This window comes from Homo sapiens, chromosome 5 (genome assembly GCF_000001405.40).
Source record: "Homo sapiens chromosome 5, GRCh38.p14 Primary Assembly".
NCBI classification, from domain to species: domain Eukaryota; kingdom Metazoa; phylum Chordata; class Mammalia; order Primates; family Hominidae; genus Homo; species Homo sapiens.
In genome coordinates this window covers 13,564,158-13,584,051 of record NC_000005.10, presented here as the reverse complement: position 1 = coordinate 13,584,051, position 19,894 = coordinate 13,564,158, and the positions used below count along the sequence as shown (strand labels likewise).

Sequence of the window (19,894 nt, the reverse complement as noted above, 5' to 3'; positions counted from 1 at the left end):
AGCAATGGGGAAAGGACTCTCTATTCATTAAATAGTGCTGGGATAACTGGCTAGCCATACGCTGAATATTGAAGCTGGAATGCCTACCTTTCACCCTATAGAAAAATCAACTCTAAATGGATCAAAGATTTAAACATGAGACCTCAAACTAGTTTAGAGATTTTTGAGAGTGCCACAAGATATTTCTGTTTCTTCAGGGAAACCCTCGGTTGTAATTTCACACCTGTTCATGAGGCAGTGACCTCTGCCTAAACTCCTTGGGCTATTACTACCTAGCATAGTGGGCCACTGTCTGGCCTACCTTGTGGAAGACTCTGGAGTCAGTCTGAAAAATTCTTCTTGGGCTATAAACAAGAAATCTAAATTCAGGTTGCCAATGAGAAGCGTGAGTAGTAATCCTAGATACGTGCTGTTCCAAGGGAGGTTTTATTTATTTTTTTGTTATTATATTTTTGGTTTTGTTTTTACATATGACTGTCTTGCTATTTTTTATACTAGACTCAACAGCAACAAGTTTTTATTTGGAAAACATTAAATACTTGCACAAAACTCTCCTTTTCCCCCTTTGGTATATATTTAGTGGGTTATACTCTTATCAAATAGTGTTTATATTATACATGCACATTCAGAAGAACTAAAGAAGTTCTTTTTAAAGATTGATAATTTGCACCTAGAGATGTGCTTTGTTCCCCAAGTTAACTTAAAAAAATGCAAACATAGTTTTCTCATTCCTACTTCTCCTGTTTATATTACATTGTGTAGTTACAAGTAACAACTTAACAAACACTCCATTACAGCATTGTTTTTTTCTAAGGGTGTAATTTGGTTCATCAAATTTCCCTCCAAGGCTGAAATGTAACTTATCATACAAGCTGTTAAGTCCAGGAGTAATTTTTTGGACAAAAATTAGTTTGGCCCTCTTTTTTAAAGCTCCAAGAGGGATAAATAAATATGGAGGATTTTTTTTTATTGCTGTTATTTTGCAACTTTAAAAAATGGCTTTGTTATATTGTATGATTTATACATCCATGTAGAGAACAAAAGCAATAAGTTCTTTCTAACAAACAACTTTGTCTTTTCTGAAATAAAATTCTATGGGAGAAATATATCCATAGTTGGTAGCTAAAATCTTTCATTTGGATGCAGGTAGAGAGGACTGATTTTATAATAAGATTAAACAATTAGAGCAAGTCACAGAGGGTTCAAGGGGTAACTAATAATTATTTATAACCTGCTATGGATTACCATGTTAAACATTGACAGGAAGACCTTTGATATCTAGGACAGTTAATATTCCAATGAAATTTTGTTAATGTTAACCTACTAACCTGTTTTTATAACTGTTATCTTCTTGCTGAAACTTATCATATGAAATGGACTCCAGGCAATGCTCCATTCTTTTCTCAAGTCAGGCATAATGATCAATTAGGGGCTACCTTACTGTCATCTCTTAATACCTTAAAACCTAACGGTTTCATTTAATTCTGTCCATCAAATACTACCCTTAAGCAGAATTAATCAAAAAATTCTTTAATGAATATAACTCAAAAGAATAAAGATCTAAGCTATGGATATTTTCTTTTTTAGCTTGATCAATTCTATAAAGCAGTAGCATCTAAAGTCAGGGTTGTTTCAGCCTAAAGATGGTGAGTTTTCCTTCTCATTTATCCCATTCGTGCAAAGAAATATTATTTAAGAAACAAAGTAAGAAAGACCAATGTCTGTTCCAATCTAAATGCCCTAAATCCAAGACTTGAAATTCATTTTTCATTTATAATAATGTATCATCTTGACTTAATTGTCAGAGACCGTGGAAAAACAAAGTGACGCCATCTGAGAGAAGATGGGCTTTTTGGGGGCCGGGATCACATATTTGCTTCTGGTGAGAAGCTGCCGTTAAAAGCCAATTGTGTGATTCTCCGCTCTGTATAATCAAAAGCTCTCAGAGGACTGAGGTGAAAGAGTGACAAGCGATAAAGGAGAAGGGATATGAGATAAATATGGGCTGTGCAGAGCAGGTTTTTTTCCTGATAAACTGTCAGTATATTGAGGCATTTAGTTTCCTATATACATTTATATGCATATGACTAACAAAAATCTGCAAAACTGAGTGGCGCTAGGAAGGTACCTAAGTGTTTTTCCAGAGAACAGCCCAACTCTTTGAAATTCTGCCCTTAGAAATGGTGTGGTGAAATAGTCCAGATTTCCTTTTTAACACAAGTAGGTAAGGAAGAATAAGGCCCAATCCAGGGATACCAATGCCTGGAATGTTCTTCGCCAGCCTTATTGCAAGCGTGGCTCTTTTCTAGCATTCAGGTCTTAATGCAGCCATTCCTGACCACCCTAATGAGGCTTTCACTTTATTGTCTGGTTCATTTATTTTCTTCCTAGCACTTGTAGTTTGTAGTTACCCTTTTATTTATTAGTTTGCATGTTTGTTTATTTCTCTGTCACTGGAATGTGAGAAAATGAGGGCAGGGCTCTTGACAGCCTTGTGAATGAATCTGTCCCCAGCAGAGCAACTGGCACAAAATAGCATGCAATCAATATTGGCTGTGTGAATAAGTCAAAGAATCAATGACTGAATGAAAAGAAGATTGACTCAGATTTATATTCCCAGGCATTGGTGAGCAACTGCAGGCCGAAGCAGATAACTGGGTAAGCAATTAGGTAAAGCAGTGAAGTCTCTTCCTATGCCCAATCCTTTCAAAACACGCCCACCGTTTTTCACATCTCTGCTATGCTGTTCCAAAGTGCCTCTCACGACATAGGTGCCAAAAGTTGTAGCTACTTTTAAGTCATGAAGTCAGATTCCCTGGGAATGAAAATCCAATATAGTCACAGTTCTTGGTTAAACGCCCTTCTTAGGACATAATAAAATTTATTTCTCACTTTTAGATTCTAAAAGAGCATGCTTTTTTATAATATAATTTTAATATACATGGAAAGAACAGCTTCTTGCTAAACCTTGCTCAAACATTTTAAGTAAATTTTTCACAGAGAATGTAGATTTCATATAATTCAAGTGATTGAGTACTGAATGCCTACAACATGCTGAGTCCTGTGTGGGAAATTTAAAGAAAGAACTTATTGTCATTTCTCATTGAAATAAATTAGACAATTACAATATTATTTAGGAGAATCTAGAATTAAATGTCAAAATGAGTGTATACATATTGTGCAGATTAAGAAGTCAGAGGAGCAAAGAATCAATGTAGATTAGATTGGTTACAGTAGGATTTGTTTAAAGAGTAAAGCTTCATCTACTTTTCAAATGGAAAAAGACAATGAAGCTAGGTGCAGTAATCCTCCTGAGGACCATAATGTTGAAGTCAGCATCTCTGTGAAGATGTAAAGATATTCCTGACAGCAGCCACCTATTATTAGAAAGGGCTAAGGGACTCTGTCTTGGTTTACCTGGTAACTTAGATTACCTAAATTTATGGCAATTTATTAACTCTATGTTACTTTCCATTTTTTCCCTCCTTAGACCTTACAAATTCTTTGACACTCCATCCTTGTGTCAGCTAGAAGCAAGGAAAAGGTGGCGTTATCTCTACTCAGGCCATAATGTAAAATAGGGAGAACCTACATGTATTAGGGTTCTCCAGAGGGACAGAACAAATAGGATATATGTATTTATAAAAAGGAGTTTATTAGGGAGAACTGACTCACATGATCACAAGGCACAGGACCACGATAGGCCTTCTGCAAGCTGGGGAAGAGAGAAGCCAGTCGCAGCTCAGTCCAAGTCTGAAAGCTTCACAACTGGGGAAGCTGCCAGTGCAGCCTTCAGTCTGTGGCCCAAGGCCCGGGAGCCCCTGAAAAGCCACTGGTGCAAGTCCAAGAGTCCAAAGGCCAAAGAACCTGGAGTCTGATATCCAATGGCAGGAGGAGCTTGGAGGAAGCTTCCAGCCCGGGAGAAAGAAGGAAGCCACAAAACCCAGCATCAAGTTTCTCCCACCTTATTCTGCCTGTTTTGTTCTAGCCGTGCTGGCAGCAACTGCATGGTGCCCAGGCACATTGAGGGTGGGTCTTCCTCTCCCAGTCCACAGACCAGCCATCTAGGCATCCTTCAAACCAATCAAGTTGACACCTCATATTAACTATCACACCCCACCTCTGTTTTTTGCATAAAGACATGACTACGATGGGAGTGTGATTCCTAAGGGTAACATGATTCTCAGCTTTTATTCAGGGACTTGGAGTCTGGCTGTTCTTCCCTACCTGGGATTCAGTTTTGTTTTTTTTTTTTGTATTAGGGAAGTCAGAAATGCCTTGTAGACCTCTCCTATCGTGTCCGGAATTGGTGGGTTCTTGGTGTCACTGACTTCAAGAAGGAATCCGCAGACCCTCGCGGTGAGTGTTACAGTTCTTAAAGGCGGCGTGTCCGAAGTTTGTTCGTTCTGATGTTCGGATGTGTTCGGAGTTTATTCCTTCTGGTGGGTTCGTGGTCTCGCTGGCTCAGGAGAAAAGCTGTGGACCTTCCCGGTGAGTGTTACAGCTCTTAAGGCGGCGCATCTGGAGTTGTTCGTTCCTCCCCGTGGGGTTCCTCCCGGTGGGTTCGTGGTCTGGCTGGTTTCGTGGTCTGGCTGGCTTCAGGAGTGAAGCTGCAGACCTTCCCGGTGAGTGTTACAGCTCATAAAGGCAGTGTGGACCCAAAAAGTGCGCAGCAGCAAGATTTATTGCAGAGTGAAAGAACAAAGTTTCCACACTGTGGAAGGGGACCCAAGCAGGGTTGCCACTGCTGGCGCGGGCTGCCCGCTTTTATTCTCTTATCGGGCCCCACCCACATCCTGCTCATTGGTCCATTTTACAGAGAGCTGAGTGGTCTGTTTTGACAGGGCACTGATTGGTGCCTTTACAATCCCTGAGCTAGACACAAAGGTTCTCCACGTCCCCACTAGATTAGCTAGATACAGTGTCCACACAAAGGTTCTCCAAGTCCCCACCAGAGAAGCTAGATACAGAGTGTTGATTGGTGCATTCACAAACCCTGAGCTAGACACAGGGTGCTGATTGGTGTGTTTACAAACCTTGAGCTAGATACAGAGTGCCGATTGGTGTATTTACAATCCCTTAGCTAGACACAAAGGTTCTCCAAGTCCCCACCAGTCAGGAGCCCAGCTGGCTTCACCCAGTGGATCCGGCACCGGGCTGCAGGTGGAGCTGCCTGCCAGGCCCTGCTGTGCGGTCGCACTCCTCAGCCCTTGGGTGGTCGATGGGACTGGGCGCGGTGGAGCAGGGGGCGGCGCTCGTCCGGGAGGCTTGGGCCGCACAGGAGTCCACGGAGGCGGAGCGGGGGTAGGCTCAGGCATGGCGGGCTGCAGGTCCTGAGCCCTGCCCCGCGGGAAGGCAGCTAAGGCCTGGCGAGAAATTCAGCACAGCAGCTGCTGGCCGAGGTGCTAAGCCCCTCACTGCCCGGGCCGGCGGGGCGGCCGGCCGCTCCGAGGGCGGGGCCCGCCGAGCCCACGCCCACCCGGAACTCGCGCTGGCCCGCAAGCACCGCGCTCAGCCGCGGTTCCCGCCAGCGCCTCTCCCTTCACACCTCCCCACAAGCTGAGGGAGCCGGCTCCGGCCTTGGCCAGCCCAGAAAGGGCTGAAGGGCTCCTCAAGTGCCGCCAAAGTGGGAGCCCAGGCAGAGGAGGCGTCGAGAGTGAGTGAGGGCTGTGAGGACCGCCAGCACTCTGTCACCTCTCACTATTACCAGTTCTGTTCCTTTGCTGCTTCTTCTGGTTGTCCAATTCAACCAGCATTGTTTTATCTTTCTTTCTTGTCACATATAATATTTCATATCCTGTTTCTAATCTGGATTCGTCTTTCACTCTACTTGGCCCTTGGGTTGCAGCCCCATGTCTCTCCTGGCCGGAGGCACCAAGACCTGGTGTCTGTCCCAGGAAAGTTAACAAGCTGGTCCACTTGCCAATTTACCACCTTGGATTTTGAGGCCAGGTGACTGGTGAAGGAGCCAGGATTGATTTAAAGCATAAGCTGAGTGATATCACTGCAACAAATAGTTACTAAGTGACCCATTTACATGGTGGAGAATGTTGATTCTGTGAGAAGGTCAAATCAATCAGGTACCTCATTATGTAAGTTGATAGTTAATTATATTTTAATATTATTATTTTATCATATTTAATTATAATTTCCTGATATGCTAAAACACATCTGCTGAATTAATTTCACTTTGCTTAAGAGTCTTGTGGCATGTTGAGGAATGTGTACATATGTGTGTGTGCCTGTACACACAGCATGTATGCAGAAACATAGTTCTTCCCATACAAGTAATTTGACACTGTGATAATTAGAAAAAAAAAACCTGTATGATTTTAAAATAATTTAATGTTCTTGAATTCCTTAAACATGAAATATTTTCTGATGTTTTTATTTATAGGCTCTTTGAAAACTATGTCTTTCCCTTGGTAATTCCCTGACCTATTTGTTTATCAGTCTGACATGAGGTGGATAGATTTCTTTATAATCATAAACAAATCTGAAACTCTGTATGAAAAATGATAAGTCATAAGAAAGCACCACTGCTCATTTTCCCTTCTCAAGATAGAATTAGGTCAATAAATTTTACACTATTGATTTAAGTGGGATGGTATTCTAAAGCCGCATGTGTATATGATGTATATGACCATGCGCATATATTTGCTGTCAGATTTCCAACAACCAAAGTTGACGGTTTAATATTTCAGCTTAAAAGTCAGGGGTATAAAATATTATACTAATTCATAAAAAGTAAAAGAACTTAACTCTTTTTTGCAAAAACATGCAAAAACTACAAGAAAGAAAATCTTTAAATGATTTTAAACATTTAGTTGACTAGGTAAGTTAAATCAAACTATTTTTTACGCAGATCTAGTATGTCTATGTGTAATAATACTCATATCAAATACTCAATTGTTTGCAAATTGATCACTGTTTTAACTAACTGAAAGCAGCTTCTGACATTTGCTTCACGGATCAATTTGAGTCAATCATTTGGTGGTAATTTGGTAATGGCCAAAATATATGACCAAAAAATATTTGGTCTGTGACTACGAGACTTCATTCCATATGGAATTCCAGTTTCTTATCAGATACCTCTTCTTCATAAATCTCTGGATGCCTTCCTCATTGGTGATCCTCCTCTTCTTTTGTAAATCATCTGAATGTTGGTTAGTAAAGCTGGATGTGGTTCTATCTATAACATAACAGATCAAATCTGTAAAGAAAACACATCTGTCAGATTGCTGGTTTAATATTTTAAAGACAAATGTGGGTGTTTTGATGAATTCTAATTTTAAATTTAACAAAACCAATTTGTATCTGGGCAAAGTTTAAATCTAAATTCACTTTTTTATTTCTTATTTTCTTTTTTTTGGCACGTTGAAGCTCATTGGCTAAAACAACATTGATACATTTTTTGCGCAAAGATGGAGGCCTCCCTTTGTCCTCACCAAAGCCAGTAGGTAAAGACATTCTAATTTTTACTTTTACATGTTGCTGTTTGCTGTATTTCAAAAGGCAATCAGAAATGTTTTTGAATGTATGTTTTATGAAATATATGGAAACAAACAAAAAAATTTATGAACTGATTTTCATTAAGTGGTACTGCTGTATTAATACCGTCAAATGGTATAGTCTATTATCAATACCGAAGACATTAAATTTCTATGAAAAATTTTTGGACAGAAGGCTAAGAGAGTTATTCTATGCTGATAGTCAGATGAGGTAGGCTTAGCATGAATCTGGCCTGGAACCAACTCCTGCTACCTGAAGCTCTTTTCCACTGAGGCCACCGTGATCTGAGAATCGACTCAGCCTGAGAGGACCGACTCACTAGTATTTTACTTAATAATTTTAACAATAAACCGGGAATTGGTCATTGTATGAATCTTGTTCAAACTTTTCAATTTAAAATTTAAAATTAATTATGCTAGCCAGCTTGGCTCTCTGTCTCAGAAAAAAATCCCTTTTGTTGAAAGATGGGATATTAAGACCTCTACTGGTACTTTTACATTACACCCTTCTCCCCAGGTGCCCCCACCTTGGCAAAATTCTTATTCTTAGTCATAGGGAATTTCTTGTTTTGGTAACTGAGACTGTTCTGCTCTTACATTGTTTGCCTGAGGGTCACTAGGTATTCTTAGTATTCTCTGCCAAGGTAAGGTTAGGCGATATAGCAGCAGCAAATTCATTTCAGTAATTCAGTGGCCATACATGCAAACTTTTCCTCCCTATGCTACATTCAGTGAGGGTTGGTGGTGGTGGTTAGAGACCCAGGCCTACAGAGACACGACCATTTTGTGACATTGGCATCTCAAAAAATGGATCACTGTAGCAGAGGAAGAGAACATGGACAACCCACACCCACTCCAGAAGTGGCACACTTCATTCCCACACAGGACTCATTGTCCAGAATAGGCACCTACGTCCTGCTAACCGCAAGGGGACTGGGACATGTTGAGAAACACACGCATATTGGTAACCAGTGTGTTTCTCTCCATGTACCCTAGAGACCAGGCCTCGCATGGGTGGGTGACCTTCTTTCATCATAAGGCCATTCACAATTGTTGGTCCTGTGATAAAGAGTCAATTTTGTTTTAGGCTACAGACCATCCTGGGTAGGCCTGTGCTGTTTGGCTATACCTACATTCATTTCTATAAATAATGATTGTTCACACAAATAACTTGCATTTATAGATTTAAATGTTTTCTTTCTTCTTTTTTTGAGATGGAGTTTCGCTCTGTCACCCAGGCTGGGGTACAGAGGTGGGATCTCGGCTCACTGCAGCCTCCGCCCTCTGGGTTCAAGCAATTATCCTGCCTCAGCCTCCCAAGTAGCTAGGACAACAGGCATGTTCCACCATGCCTGGCTAATTTTTGTGTTTGAGACAGGGTTTCACCGTGTTGGCCAGGCTTGTCTTGAACGCCTGACCTCAAGTGACCCACCTGCCTCGGCCTCAAGTGCTGGGATTACAGGCTTGAGCCACTGTGCCTGGCTTAAATGCTTTGTTTCTGTACCCAGTATTTGGACCCTGGGAATTCAAAAGAACATTTTAAATATTTACTTACAGTTGCTAAAAGTATGGAAAAACCTGTGTTTAGTGCTTCAATCCTCAGGGCTCTTATTGGTGAGACAGATGTATCACTTGGTCATGTGGCTTAGTTAAGCAAGTTTTTATTATTACAAACTTCAAGGCTGGCAGCTCTTCAACCCTTACACTGTGCAGACTTCTAGGTTAAATAATTTCTAATGGTGGGTGCCAAGTTTTGATACTTGTTAGTCTGGCAGTGATGGATTCAACACCAGGGAGACTCATTAAAATGGAGCCTTGGTCCTCAATCAGCTGTCAGTTTTCTAGCATGCGTGGCAAAACCCAAAATGTCTTCTGGGCTTGGCTGGATTTCTGATGGATTGGGTTACCCCAAAGAGGAGCCAAGGTACACGGTTTTCACATGGCACTGGAAATCATTTATCATTCCAAATGAATGCTGTATATAGTAATCAACATTTGGGGATAGAATTATTTTGGGAAAGCTATGGCCATTTGTGATCAATTAGGGACATAATCTGATAATGACAGCAGTGACCATGAGGTTGAATGTGTTTGCCATTATAAGCTGCAAACATTTAAAAATGAATGCTCAGTTTATTATACTTCAGATTGGCTAATAGGCACATGTTGGAATGCAGTGGCAATATTTATTAGATCTAAATCTTAAATACAGTTCATTGAAGAAATGAAAAGTAATCTCCTAAATTTTCTGAAAGACTGTTCAAGTATTATTGTTGTAGCAGCTGTTCTAGGAACATCTGTGTGTCATCCATCTGTTGAGTATCTACATCTAATTTCTCTTTGTGTTGTATTATTTTATTGTTGCTTTACTGTCTGAAGTTACAACTATAATATTTGGTTTAAAGAACTCTGCCTTACTCTAGAATTGTTCATAAAAGAAAGGTGATATTTTCACACCTTTTGAGATACAATTTTATTTTCCTCTATTTCTGTTTATTTCACATTGTTCATATTCCTGTTACGGATGCCAATAGGAGAGATGACTAGAAAGTATATATGACTTTATTCCACTGATTTCAAAGTCGGTGGTTTACAGAAAACATAAAGCATAATGCTTTCAATGTTTATTGGAAATATTATTTCTAAATGGCAAGAAAAAGACATCACATAGAAAGCAGTAAGAAGATCAAATGACAGGATTGATATCGATATCTAGCTGTAGAAAGACTCTAGGTTTTAAGAAATCTCAGTGTTAGTGCTAAATTTATCTGTTTATTGTAGGCTCTTAGAGTAGGACACGTTCAATTAACTAAAACTAAATTCTAGCCTTTGCCCTGCCTCCCTTGTTTTAATAATAATACATGTTTAAATGAAAATTTATAAATTCACTTTTACCTTTCACACTACAGTGATTCAACATGACTAAAGAGAAAAAAATGGTTTAATAAGCTCAATTAAGTATTTGCTCAAAAATTTTGTTATAACTGAAACAGCAGCAAAACAAATTAATGGCAAAGGAATTAATTCATAGATATTCACTGGTATATGATGAATATAATTTTTTGTGATCCAAGATTTCTTGTAGCTACCTGAAGTTTAGAGCTTAAATAGAATTTAATATAATTTTAGAACCTAAATATAATTCTGTTTAGGTGCTTCCCTTATACATGAGGTGGAAATTATTATTATAATAGAACCTCATAAAAAATACCACTTAAGTTATAGTATGCCTTATAATCATCTACCTTCACTCTCATTTACTTAGGGGGTTCTTGATGAGTCTTTTCAGTGCATTCTTCAAAGATCTATCATATGCCTTTCAGTGAGAAGGCACAAGGATGGGGAAGAGGATATTATTTTTCAAAGAAGCATGTGAGCTTTGTAATACCATTTGTGAGAAAAAAACCTTTTAATGAAATGGCCATGATCTGTTGTTATTTAGTTTAATTTTTACCTTTTCAGTGCAAAATTGGTGCACATTTTCCCCCTTTAGGAGTGCATTAGTTACTATGGAGACAATTTCATTGGCAAAAACAGAATTTTCAAACACTACACGTATAATGTAAATTTAATGTAAGCATGGGATTGGAAATTATGCCTTTGTAGTTAGACAATCATAAAGTTGTTCCCTTATATGGAGCTGGGGCAATGGCCACTGCAATGATTGCATATTTACCCACCTGTGCAACCAAAGCAAGGGCCTAATTGGGACTTAACCAGGGAACTTGGCTTTAAGTTGTGAGAATTTCTTTTTTATCTACTACACCAAATTTAAATTTCTTGAGTCTACTCTTTGTTATCCTGCTAGACCTTAATATTTTCTTCTGACAAAAATATGACCAATTTTATCCTTCTTTACACATTTTTAAAACCAAGAATGATAATTTTCTGTCAGTGGCAAACTTTCCTTAGCAAGTAGAATTAGATCCAGCTGACTCTTCGTGGCTGGCTTTGATATCCTGCATTGCCCATGGCTGGCTGTTCATCAGAGAACCAGCCGTGACCCTCAGATTAAGCACATGGCGTATATGAAGTGGGGCTGGAAAGGAACAGGAGAGTGTTTAAGTGGGGTTCTCTTTTAGATTCAGCTTCTAACTGAAATAAACCAGAAGAATTCCAGATGTCAGGAGGTCTCAGTAGGCTGTTAACAGTCCCCAGATGCATCCATAAAAAAATTCACTTCTTTCTCCTGCCTCTCAAGTGAACCATGGAAAATAAAATAATTGATAACTGCCAAGTTGGAACATGTAGCTTGGCGTGAGGGTCAAATAGACCAGAACCACAGAACCGGTTACAATTAACTGGCCAGTTGCAGAAAATGTTTGATTCCAGCTGTACCTCAACTGTGGAAGAGTGGCAGAGATGACACATTTCCTCAGGGTAGCTAGTGCCCCAGAGGGGAAGGGTAGAAGCTGACCTAAGCACTCCACTTTTTTCTTCCCAAGTGAGCAATCAGGAAAGTCACAGCACCACCCGTGGGGCGGAGTAATGGAAGACCACCTGCGGGGGTGTGGAATATGAGGAGTTATGCTCCCCTTCCCAGCAGCCACACACACAATAAACAACCTAAGCCTTCTCTGGTCTCCTAATTATTTGGTAACTCTCAGTTTGTTTCTCAGCTCTCGATTCCACCAACATCGAAAGACTTTGACCCCTTCTTTCGGGACTCTACTTTCTGGTCCTTACCTGTTGTCCTTCCATCTCCATCTGACATCCCTGTGGGCTGAACTTCACCTTACCTCATCCTCCTTGTCTGCTTTCAGGACCAATGGTTGGATAGCCACTTAGAGGTCACACTCTCCCCACCCTGACCTACATCCACAACTACTTTGCCAAATGCCTGCCCAGGGTAATTCTTTATCTACTTTCTCCACTCTTCTACTTGAATTGACAAGCACTTTCAGAGAAAGTCACAGCCTAATATCCATTAGTTAACCTTGAAAAAAGAAATTGATATTAATATGGAGTTAGTGTGGAGGAAGAAGAGGTTAGTTTCCATTGAACCCTCAGTATTTATGAAATATCTTTTATTGGTATCTGATTAATTTTGTGTTTAAAAAATTCCATCCCACACAGTGAAGGCTCTGAAATTTTTTACTCATTGCAAGAAAACAACCCCTAATCTCCTCACTCTCCCAGATGACCACACCTGCTACTTTATTGAAAGTTAAAAAAGAAACCCTTTAATTTGGACTTTCTCAAATTTCTTCTTTTGTGTCTTGAGCTTTCTCCCCACATTTTTTTTCCTTTTAGTTTAGGAGATGCACTTGTCTGTAATTGTAAGGCCAGCCCGTTACCCTGTGCCTGTCCTTCCGTCCTGCTGCACAGCTTTGGGGATCCTGATTCCCTGGTAGTGCCCTTCTCTTTTGCTTCAGTGAATAACTTTCTGTTCACTGGCTCTTCCCCTTCTACCTACAAATGTGTTCAAATATCCCTATTTAAAAATGTCCCTTAGACTCTTTCATCTTCTCTAGAGATCTCTTCTTGTTCACTAACAAATTCCCCAATATAAATCTATGTTTGTTGCCTCCACCTCTTAAGGATTCATTCAATCTCTGACCCTTGGAATTTGGAATTGGCTTTCAATAACTCCACTGAAACATTTCTGATGATGGACGTCTTCCTGAGGGCTATATTCAGGAGGTTTTTTTCCTTAACCTGTCTTTAGCTTTTGACTCTAATGACTACCTCTCCATTAAAGCCCTGCTTTCTTCCTGGGTTTTCACTTTTCTGAGAATTCTTGTTATCTCAAAGAGAAAGAACATTTTCTCCCTTTCTTAGTCATTTTCTACTGTTACCTACTTTGTAACATTAATCTTGTGACTGCTAGGGGTTCAATAATTACCTCCATGCAGATGATTTTGCTATTTTAATGAATTCTAAGGCCCATTTTCTAATTCACTGATGTTTATCTTCACCTCATATTGGCAAGAGTGCTTAAAGATCGACATGATTGATCAGCCTATTTATCCCTTCAAATACACTCCTTCTGAATTCTGGTTTCTATTATTGACCAAACTTTCCTTCCAGCTCTCAAGCCCCTCTTTCTATTCACATTAATTCAGTTCCTACTGATCTACCTCATCCATGACTCTTGAAACAAGCTTTCTATACTCATTCCCACTACAACTACCCTAGTTCAGCCCTGAGTTGTCTGTAGCTTAGATTTTTCAATAGCTGCTTATTTTGTCTCCCTCCCTCAGTGCCTTCCAACTTCAATTTCACCCACATACACGAGATGAATCCCCCTAAAGCAAAACTCTGCTTGTGCTATAACTCGATGTTAAAGTTGAAATTTCAGCAATATACTAGACTAGAAACAGATTTTCAAAGGAGATATCTGAGAGTCAGCTTCATAAATCTGATATTCCCCACCCATAAGGAATGTTTTGGTGAGTTGGGAGATTGAAGTTGGGAGATGATTTTGAGGATATTATTGGAAAGAGCTGTGCTGTGAGCCCTACCCACTGGCAATCAGCGGAGATGGGTGGATCTTCAAGACTAAACAGGGGTGCTTCAATGGGGGGAACTACATGTTCCCTGAAGTTGAAGGATACTTCAGGATGATCCCTAGCTCCTGCAAGAGGAAGCTGAGGCAGTGTTTTGCAACCTAGTAAAGGGCTACACCAAGGATGCCAATGCACAGCCCCTTCAGCAGGAACATGAGTCTGGGATGATTTGAAAGGGGATTCCGCTCCAGAGAGCAGATGTTGGAGTGGAGGGACCCAAGTAAAGTTGTGTGAAGAACACTGCTAGGGATAAAAGCTGACTGGGGATGAGGAGAGGCTGGTTGAAGGCAAGATCCAGGTTCTGTCAAGGTTGTTGCAGGCAGTCGGGAGTGGGTGGGGGCACAGGAGACTCTGAAGAAAGTATGTGAGAAGTCAACTTCAAGTAGTTTCTAGGTCCAGAAATTACGAAACCTTCTCACAACAGTATTAGACAGGATGAGTTTTTCCAACCACCATGTTCTTCCTTCCCACTGCTACCCGCTTCAATCCTGGTGGACAAGAAATACCAGCTGGCAAGTGAGACAGCTGTTCATCATGAGGTAGAAATAAAAGGTCAGTTGCATGCTGCCTGCAGGCACCCAGTAGCCCATCTGCTGCTGAAAGAAGGGCAAGGCATTACATCTGAATGAGGGTTGAAGGATTGACCAGTGTATTAAATCTGATAAACTTAATCACTGAATTAAGATTATATCTGGGACAAAGTAACCATTTCTATCAATTAAGATTGACCAAAAATGAGACTCAGCATTTTTTTTCCAGAGAAGGAGGATAGTCTTACTGAGCAGATTTAAAGAGATAGTGAGAGACTCCTTAAAAAAGTTGATTTCATGATGACATGCTATATAGGTCTTGCTTGTATGGTGAACTGGACAAAATCACTGATGTTTTTTCAGGGTCTCCTGAAATAGAGCAGACTTTGCATGGTGACTTTTAGGGCAATCTCTTTCTCTAGCCTCATTTTTTCACTTATTTCATGCCTATCCTGGTGTGTGGTGACTGAAAGAGCAAAGATTTGAATAGCATGTTTGCTACTTACTAACCAGGCATTTTTGGACAGACTCTATAGTCTCCAGAGCCTTTATTTCCTTATCAGAGGTCCCAGTTCATCTCGTGTTGCTAAAACAAAATATCTCAGGCTGGGTAGTTTATAAAAAACATAGGCTTATTTGCTTATAATTCTGTTGGATGCAAAGTCCAAGATTGGGCAGCTGCATCTGGTGAGGGCCTCATGCTGTTTCAACTCATGGCAGAATGTGAAAGGGGAGCAGGCATGTGCACAGAGATCACATGGAGAGAGAGGAAGCAGAAGAGAGAAACCAAGGAATCCAGACTCTTTGTAACACCTTGCTCTCATAGGAACTAATCCAGTCCTGTAAGAGTAAGAACTCTCCCATAAGAAGGATTTATGAAGGATCCATCCATTCCATGACCCAAACACCTTCCACTGGGTCCTACCTCCCAACACTGCCATACAGGTGATCAAATTTCAACATGAGTTTTGGCAGGGATAAACCACATCCAAACCATAGCATCAGTAGAATTGACTAATTGTGTACTATGTAAGTTTATTGTGAGGATTTAATGGGAAAATGTATCTAAAATACTTAACATCATGTATTAGTTATCTATTGCTGTGTAGCAAATTACCTCAAAATTTAGCAGCTTAAAAGAACACCCATTTATTACCTCAGAGTTTCTTTGAGTCAGAAACCCAGAGCAGGACAGCTGGGTGTTTCTAGCTCAGAGTGTCTCACAGGGTTGCAATCCAGGTATCTGCTGGAGCTTCTATCATCTTGAGGTTGGACTCATAAAGGCTCCATTTCCAAGCTCCCTTCTGTGACTGCTGCAAGGCCTCAGGTCCTGGCTGGAGATTGGCTGACACTGGAGACATCAGTTCCTTTACATAAGGCCCTTCCATGAGACAGCCCACAATGTGTCACCTGGTTTCTCTCAGAGTGATTGAGGGAGAGAGTGATCAAAGCAGATGTCACAGTATCTTTTAAATCTAATCTTGGAAGAGATCTTTCACCACATCTATGTTATTCATTCTGAGTAAGTAATTATGTCATTATATTCAGCCAAAAAGCATGAGAAGAATGCACAGGGCATGAATATCCAGAGGCAAGGATCATTGTAGGCCATGCTGGAGGCTGCCTGCTATACACAGGGTCTACAATAGATGCTATTTCCTGCTTTACATATCCTCACTCAGACTTCTGTATACCTTTCTCTCATTTCTCCAGTTGAAGGCGTTCTCTAATTCTTCTGAGTTCATGGAACATGTTGTTTATTTTTCTTATCACTTTCTTCCTTATATTTATTTGTTCATTAAATGATGACACTCTACTATGATGAGGATACAGAGATGAGATATTTTTCCTGTCCCCAAAAAGGGCCACCAAGTTGCTCAACTCCAAGGGAACTGGCCATATTGTATACAATATGCCTTTAATTGGGTCAAAGAGGTGCTTTTTTTCCCAAGGAGCCCATTGTTTAGCAAGAATAGCAGATTTGAAAATTAGTAGTCATAATAGTACAGTGAAAATCCAGAAAACTATCTGGTGAATCTGAGAATAACTTCATGGAAGAAAAGAATATGTGAGCTAGCATGGAAAAATGAAAAGGAGTTTTCCAGGCAGAGAAAGAAACAAAGTACATTGTAGACTTCAAAGAGTAAGCAGTTTCTGCCATCCCAATTCTCTGTCCCATTCTCCCTGTTCCATGAGGGCAACTGGCAAACTAGAGCTCACAGGCCAAATCAGGCCTGATGTAAATACAGTTTTATTGCAATACAGCCACATCCATTGTTTTACATATTTTCTCTAGCTGCTTTTATGATGCAACAGAGTTGAGCAATTGTGACAGATTTTTTTTTTTATGGCCCGCAAAGCCTGAAATATTTTCTGTCTGTCCCTTTAGCAAAGACCGTTGCTGACCTCTGCTCTCTGATATAGTGAGAGCACGTGGTACAGAAGTAGGTGCTCAGGTATTTGCTAAACTAAAGAGCTGAATAATCACCAGTTGGCTGTGATTCCTTTGCAGCTGAGTAACAAATGAATCAGCATTTAGTCAACAGCTTAGATGATTTCTTACCAGTGATTCTCAACAAATGTTCTAACTGACACATGGCTGTCCATAGTAATGAGAGTCTTTTAAAGCAAGAAATAAACAGCAATTGTGCTAGTCTCTAGATCTGAGAGAAAATGATGTAGTTTTTCTAGCTTAGGATATGTCATTTAGATGCATTTTTAATGAATATTTTTTCTTCCAAAAAATCAGCCATGCAAGTCAAGGAAAGATATGACAGATATAACAACAGAACTTGTGTAAAGAAAGGATGTTATAAGCCTAATAATAGCATGAAATAGGAGAATTTTTCAGAATTTCCTCTCCACTGAGCTTGAGGAATATCTTTCATGTCATTGATTGTTATAAGAAAATCCAATGTCATCAACCACAAACTCAGCATCAAGTGGCTTACACAATTTTTGCAGTTGGGCATGTTCATATTGTTCATAAACATAAAGTGGTACCACAGGCACATTGACTTAACTTTAATGAACTACAAGAAATTTCAGATATTAAAATGAGGTAAGTAATAGAAATTTGTTGAAACATTTCTTTTAAAAAACTTAGATACCCACTGAATAAACCATAGTGTCATAAATATTTGTATCAAAATAGAGTGGTGATTAAAATTTCAGCTTTTTTGTCTAGTCCCTTAAAATGGAACACAAGAATTATTAGAATGATAAATGAACTGAAATGTTTCAGAAAAACCAAATTTCTTTATTCCTTTTTTTTTTTTTTTTTGAGATGGATTCTTGCTCTGTCATCCAGGCTGGAGTGCGGTGGCATGATCTTGGCTCACTGCAACCTCTGCCTTCCAGGTTCAAGTGATTCTCCTGCCTCAGTCTCCTGAGTAGCTAGGATTACAAACACATGCCACCATGCCTGGATAATTTTTGTATTATTATTTTTTTTTTAGTAGAGATGTGGTTTCACATGTTGGCCATGCTTGTTTGAACTCCTGGCCTCAAGTGACCTGCCCCTCCCAGTCTTCCAAAGTGCTGGGATTACAGGCATGAGCCACCGTGCCTGGCCAAGTTTCTGTATTCTATATTAACTTTTTGTATATTCCATTTTAATTTATAGTTTGATAACTAAAATTTGTTGATTTACTGTTCCTGGTTTAACTAAGAATGCAAGTAGTGCCCTAAGTTTCAACACAAAGGCATATTCACTTCCTTGAGCTCTAGGAAACATCTCTGGAATGGTAGTACCTCAGAAGCCAGTCCTAAGAAATGCACCTTCTCCTCAATCATAGGCACCAAAGACAAAAATAGACCCCATTGTAGAGATGAGTGTTGGGGTTTGATGGTGAATAGTGGGGGTAGATAAAACACCTGAGTTGGAACCAATTGAAAAGAATAGTGTATTAGTCCATTTTCATGCTGCTGATAAAGACATATATGAAACTGCGCAATTTAAAAAAGAAAGAGGTTTAATTGGACTTATAATTCCATGTGGCTGAGGAAGCCTCACAACCATAGAGGAAGGCAAGGAGGAACGAGTCTTCTCTTACATGGATGGCAGCAGGCAAAGAGAGAGAACTTGTGCAGGGAAACTCCTCTTTTTAAAACCATTAGATCTTATGAGACTTATTCACTATCACCAGAACAGCGCGGGAAAGACTTGCCACCATGATTCAATTACCTCCCACCAGGTCCCTCCCACAATACGTGGGAATTCAAGATGAGATTTGGGTGGGGACACAGCCAAACTATATCAAATAGCATAAGATGGAGAGTAAAATATATTTTTTTATCAATTTTAGTGCTATTTTAAAAAATAAACTTTTAATTTTAGACCAATTTTGGTTTTACATAAAAATTTTAAAGGGTTTATAGAGTTCTCATATACCCTACACCCAGTTTCTCTTATTCTTAATATGTTATATTAGTTTGGTAAATTTTTCTTATTAATGAACCAATATTGATATGTTACTACCAATTGAAGTCCTACTTTATTCTGATTTTCTTAATGTTTCCCCTAATATCCATTTTCCATACCAGAATCCCACCCAATATAAGTTACACTTAGTTATCCTGTCTCCTTAAGTTTTTCTTGGCTGAGAAAGTTTCTGAGACTTTACCTGCTCTTGATAACTGTATTAGTCCATCTTCATACTGCTATAAACAACTACCTGGGACTAGGTAACCTATAAAGGAAAGAGGTTTAATTGAGTCACAGCTCAGCAAGGCTGGGGAGGTTTCAGGAAACATGCAATCATGGCAGAAGGCAAAGGGGAAGCAAGGCACCTGCTTCACAAGGCGGCAGGAAGGAGAAGTGCCAAGTGAAGGGGCAAGAGATCCTTATAAAACCATCACATCTTGTAAGAACACACTCACTTGCAAGAGAACAGCATGGGAAACCACCCCTATGATTCAATTACTTCCACCTTGTCTCTCCCTTGACACATGGAGATTATGGGGATTACAATTCTAGATGAGGTTTGAGTGGGGACACAAAGCCTAACCATAACAATAACCTTGAAAGTTTTGAGTTTGGGCTAGTTATGTTGCAGAATGTTCCACTATTCTACTTATTATAATCTACATTATTAATTGTTGGGATTTGTGTGAAGTTTTTCTTGTAATTCGACTTGGATTGTGTGGTGTTTTTTTGGAGAAGACAATACAGGTAAAGTGCCATTTTTTAGCACATCATACCAACAGTGCATACTCTCAATATCACTTACCACTGTTGATGTTAACTTGGATCATCTAACTAAAGGTAGTGTTTCTGAGGTTTCTCATGGACATTCACTTTATTCTTTGGATTATAAACTAATACTATTTTGTTTTGTTGCTC

At 39.7% G+C, this 19,894-nt stretch overlaps 1 long non-coding RNA gene across 2 annotated transcripts in view, besides 1 other annotated feature; it reads left to right on the top strand.

Moving 5' to 3' along the window:
* Positions 1-3,701: 3,701 nt before the first annotated feature.
* LOC105374660 (uncharacterized) overlaps positions 3,702-19,894 on the top strand; it is a 184,231-nt gene continuing 168,038 nt past the window's right edge. Inside the window, exons 1-3 of one of the 2 annotated variants that reach the window (XR_001742606.2) lie at positions 3,702-4,029; positions 4,263-4,359; positions 7,384-7,460. This is a non-coding gene — a long non-coding RNA (uncharacterized LOC105374660). Of the gene's footprint in view, positions 4,030-4,262; positions 4,492-7,383; positions 7,461-19,894 lie in introns of both variants that reach the window. The other variant, XR_007058696.1, reaches the window with a different exon arrangement.
* Positions 15,649-16,848: an enhancer, noted in NCBI's record as "P300/CBP strongly-dependent group 1 enhancer chr5:13567313-13568512 (GRCh37/hg19 assembly coordinates)". NCBI's record gives its function as "activates an origin of replication core promoter dependent on BRD2, BRD4, P300/CBP, MED14 and CDK7 cofactors, with strong dependence on P300/CBP, by STARR-seq in HCT116 cells {active_cell/tissue: HCT116}" and the evidence as "EXISTENCE:reporter gene assay evidence [ECO:0000049][PMID:35650434]".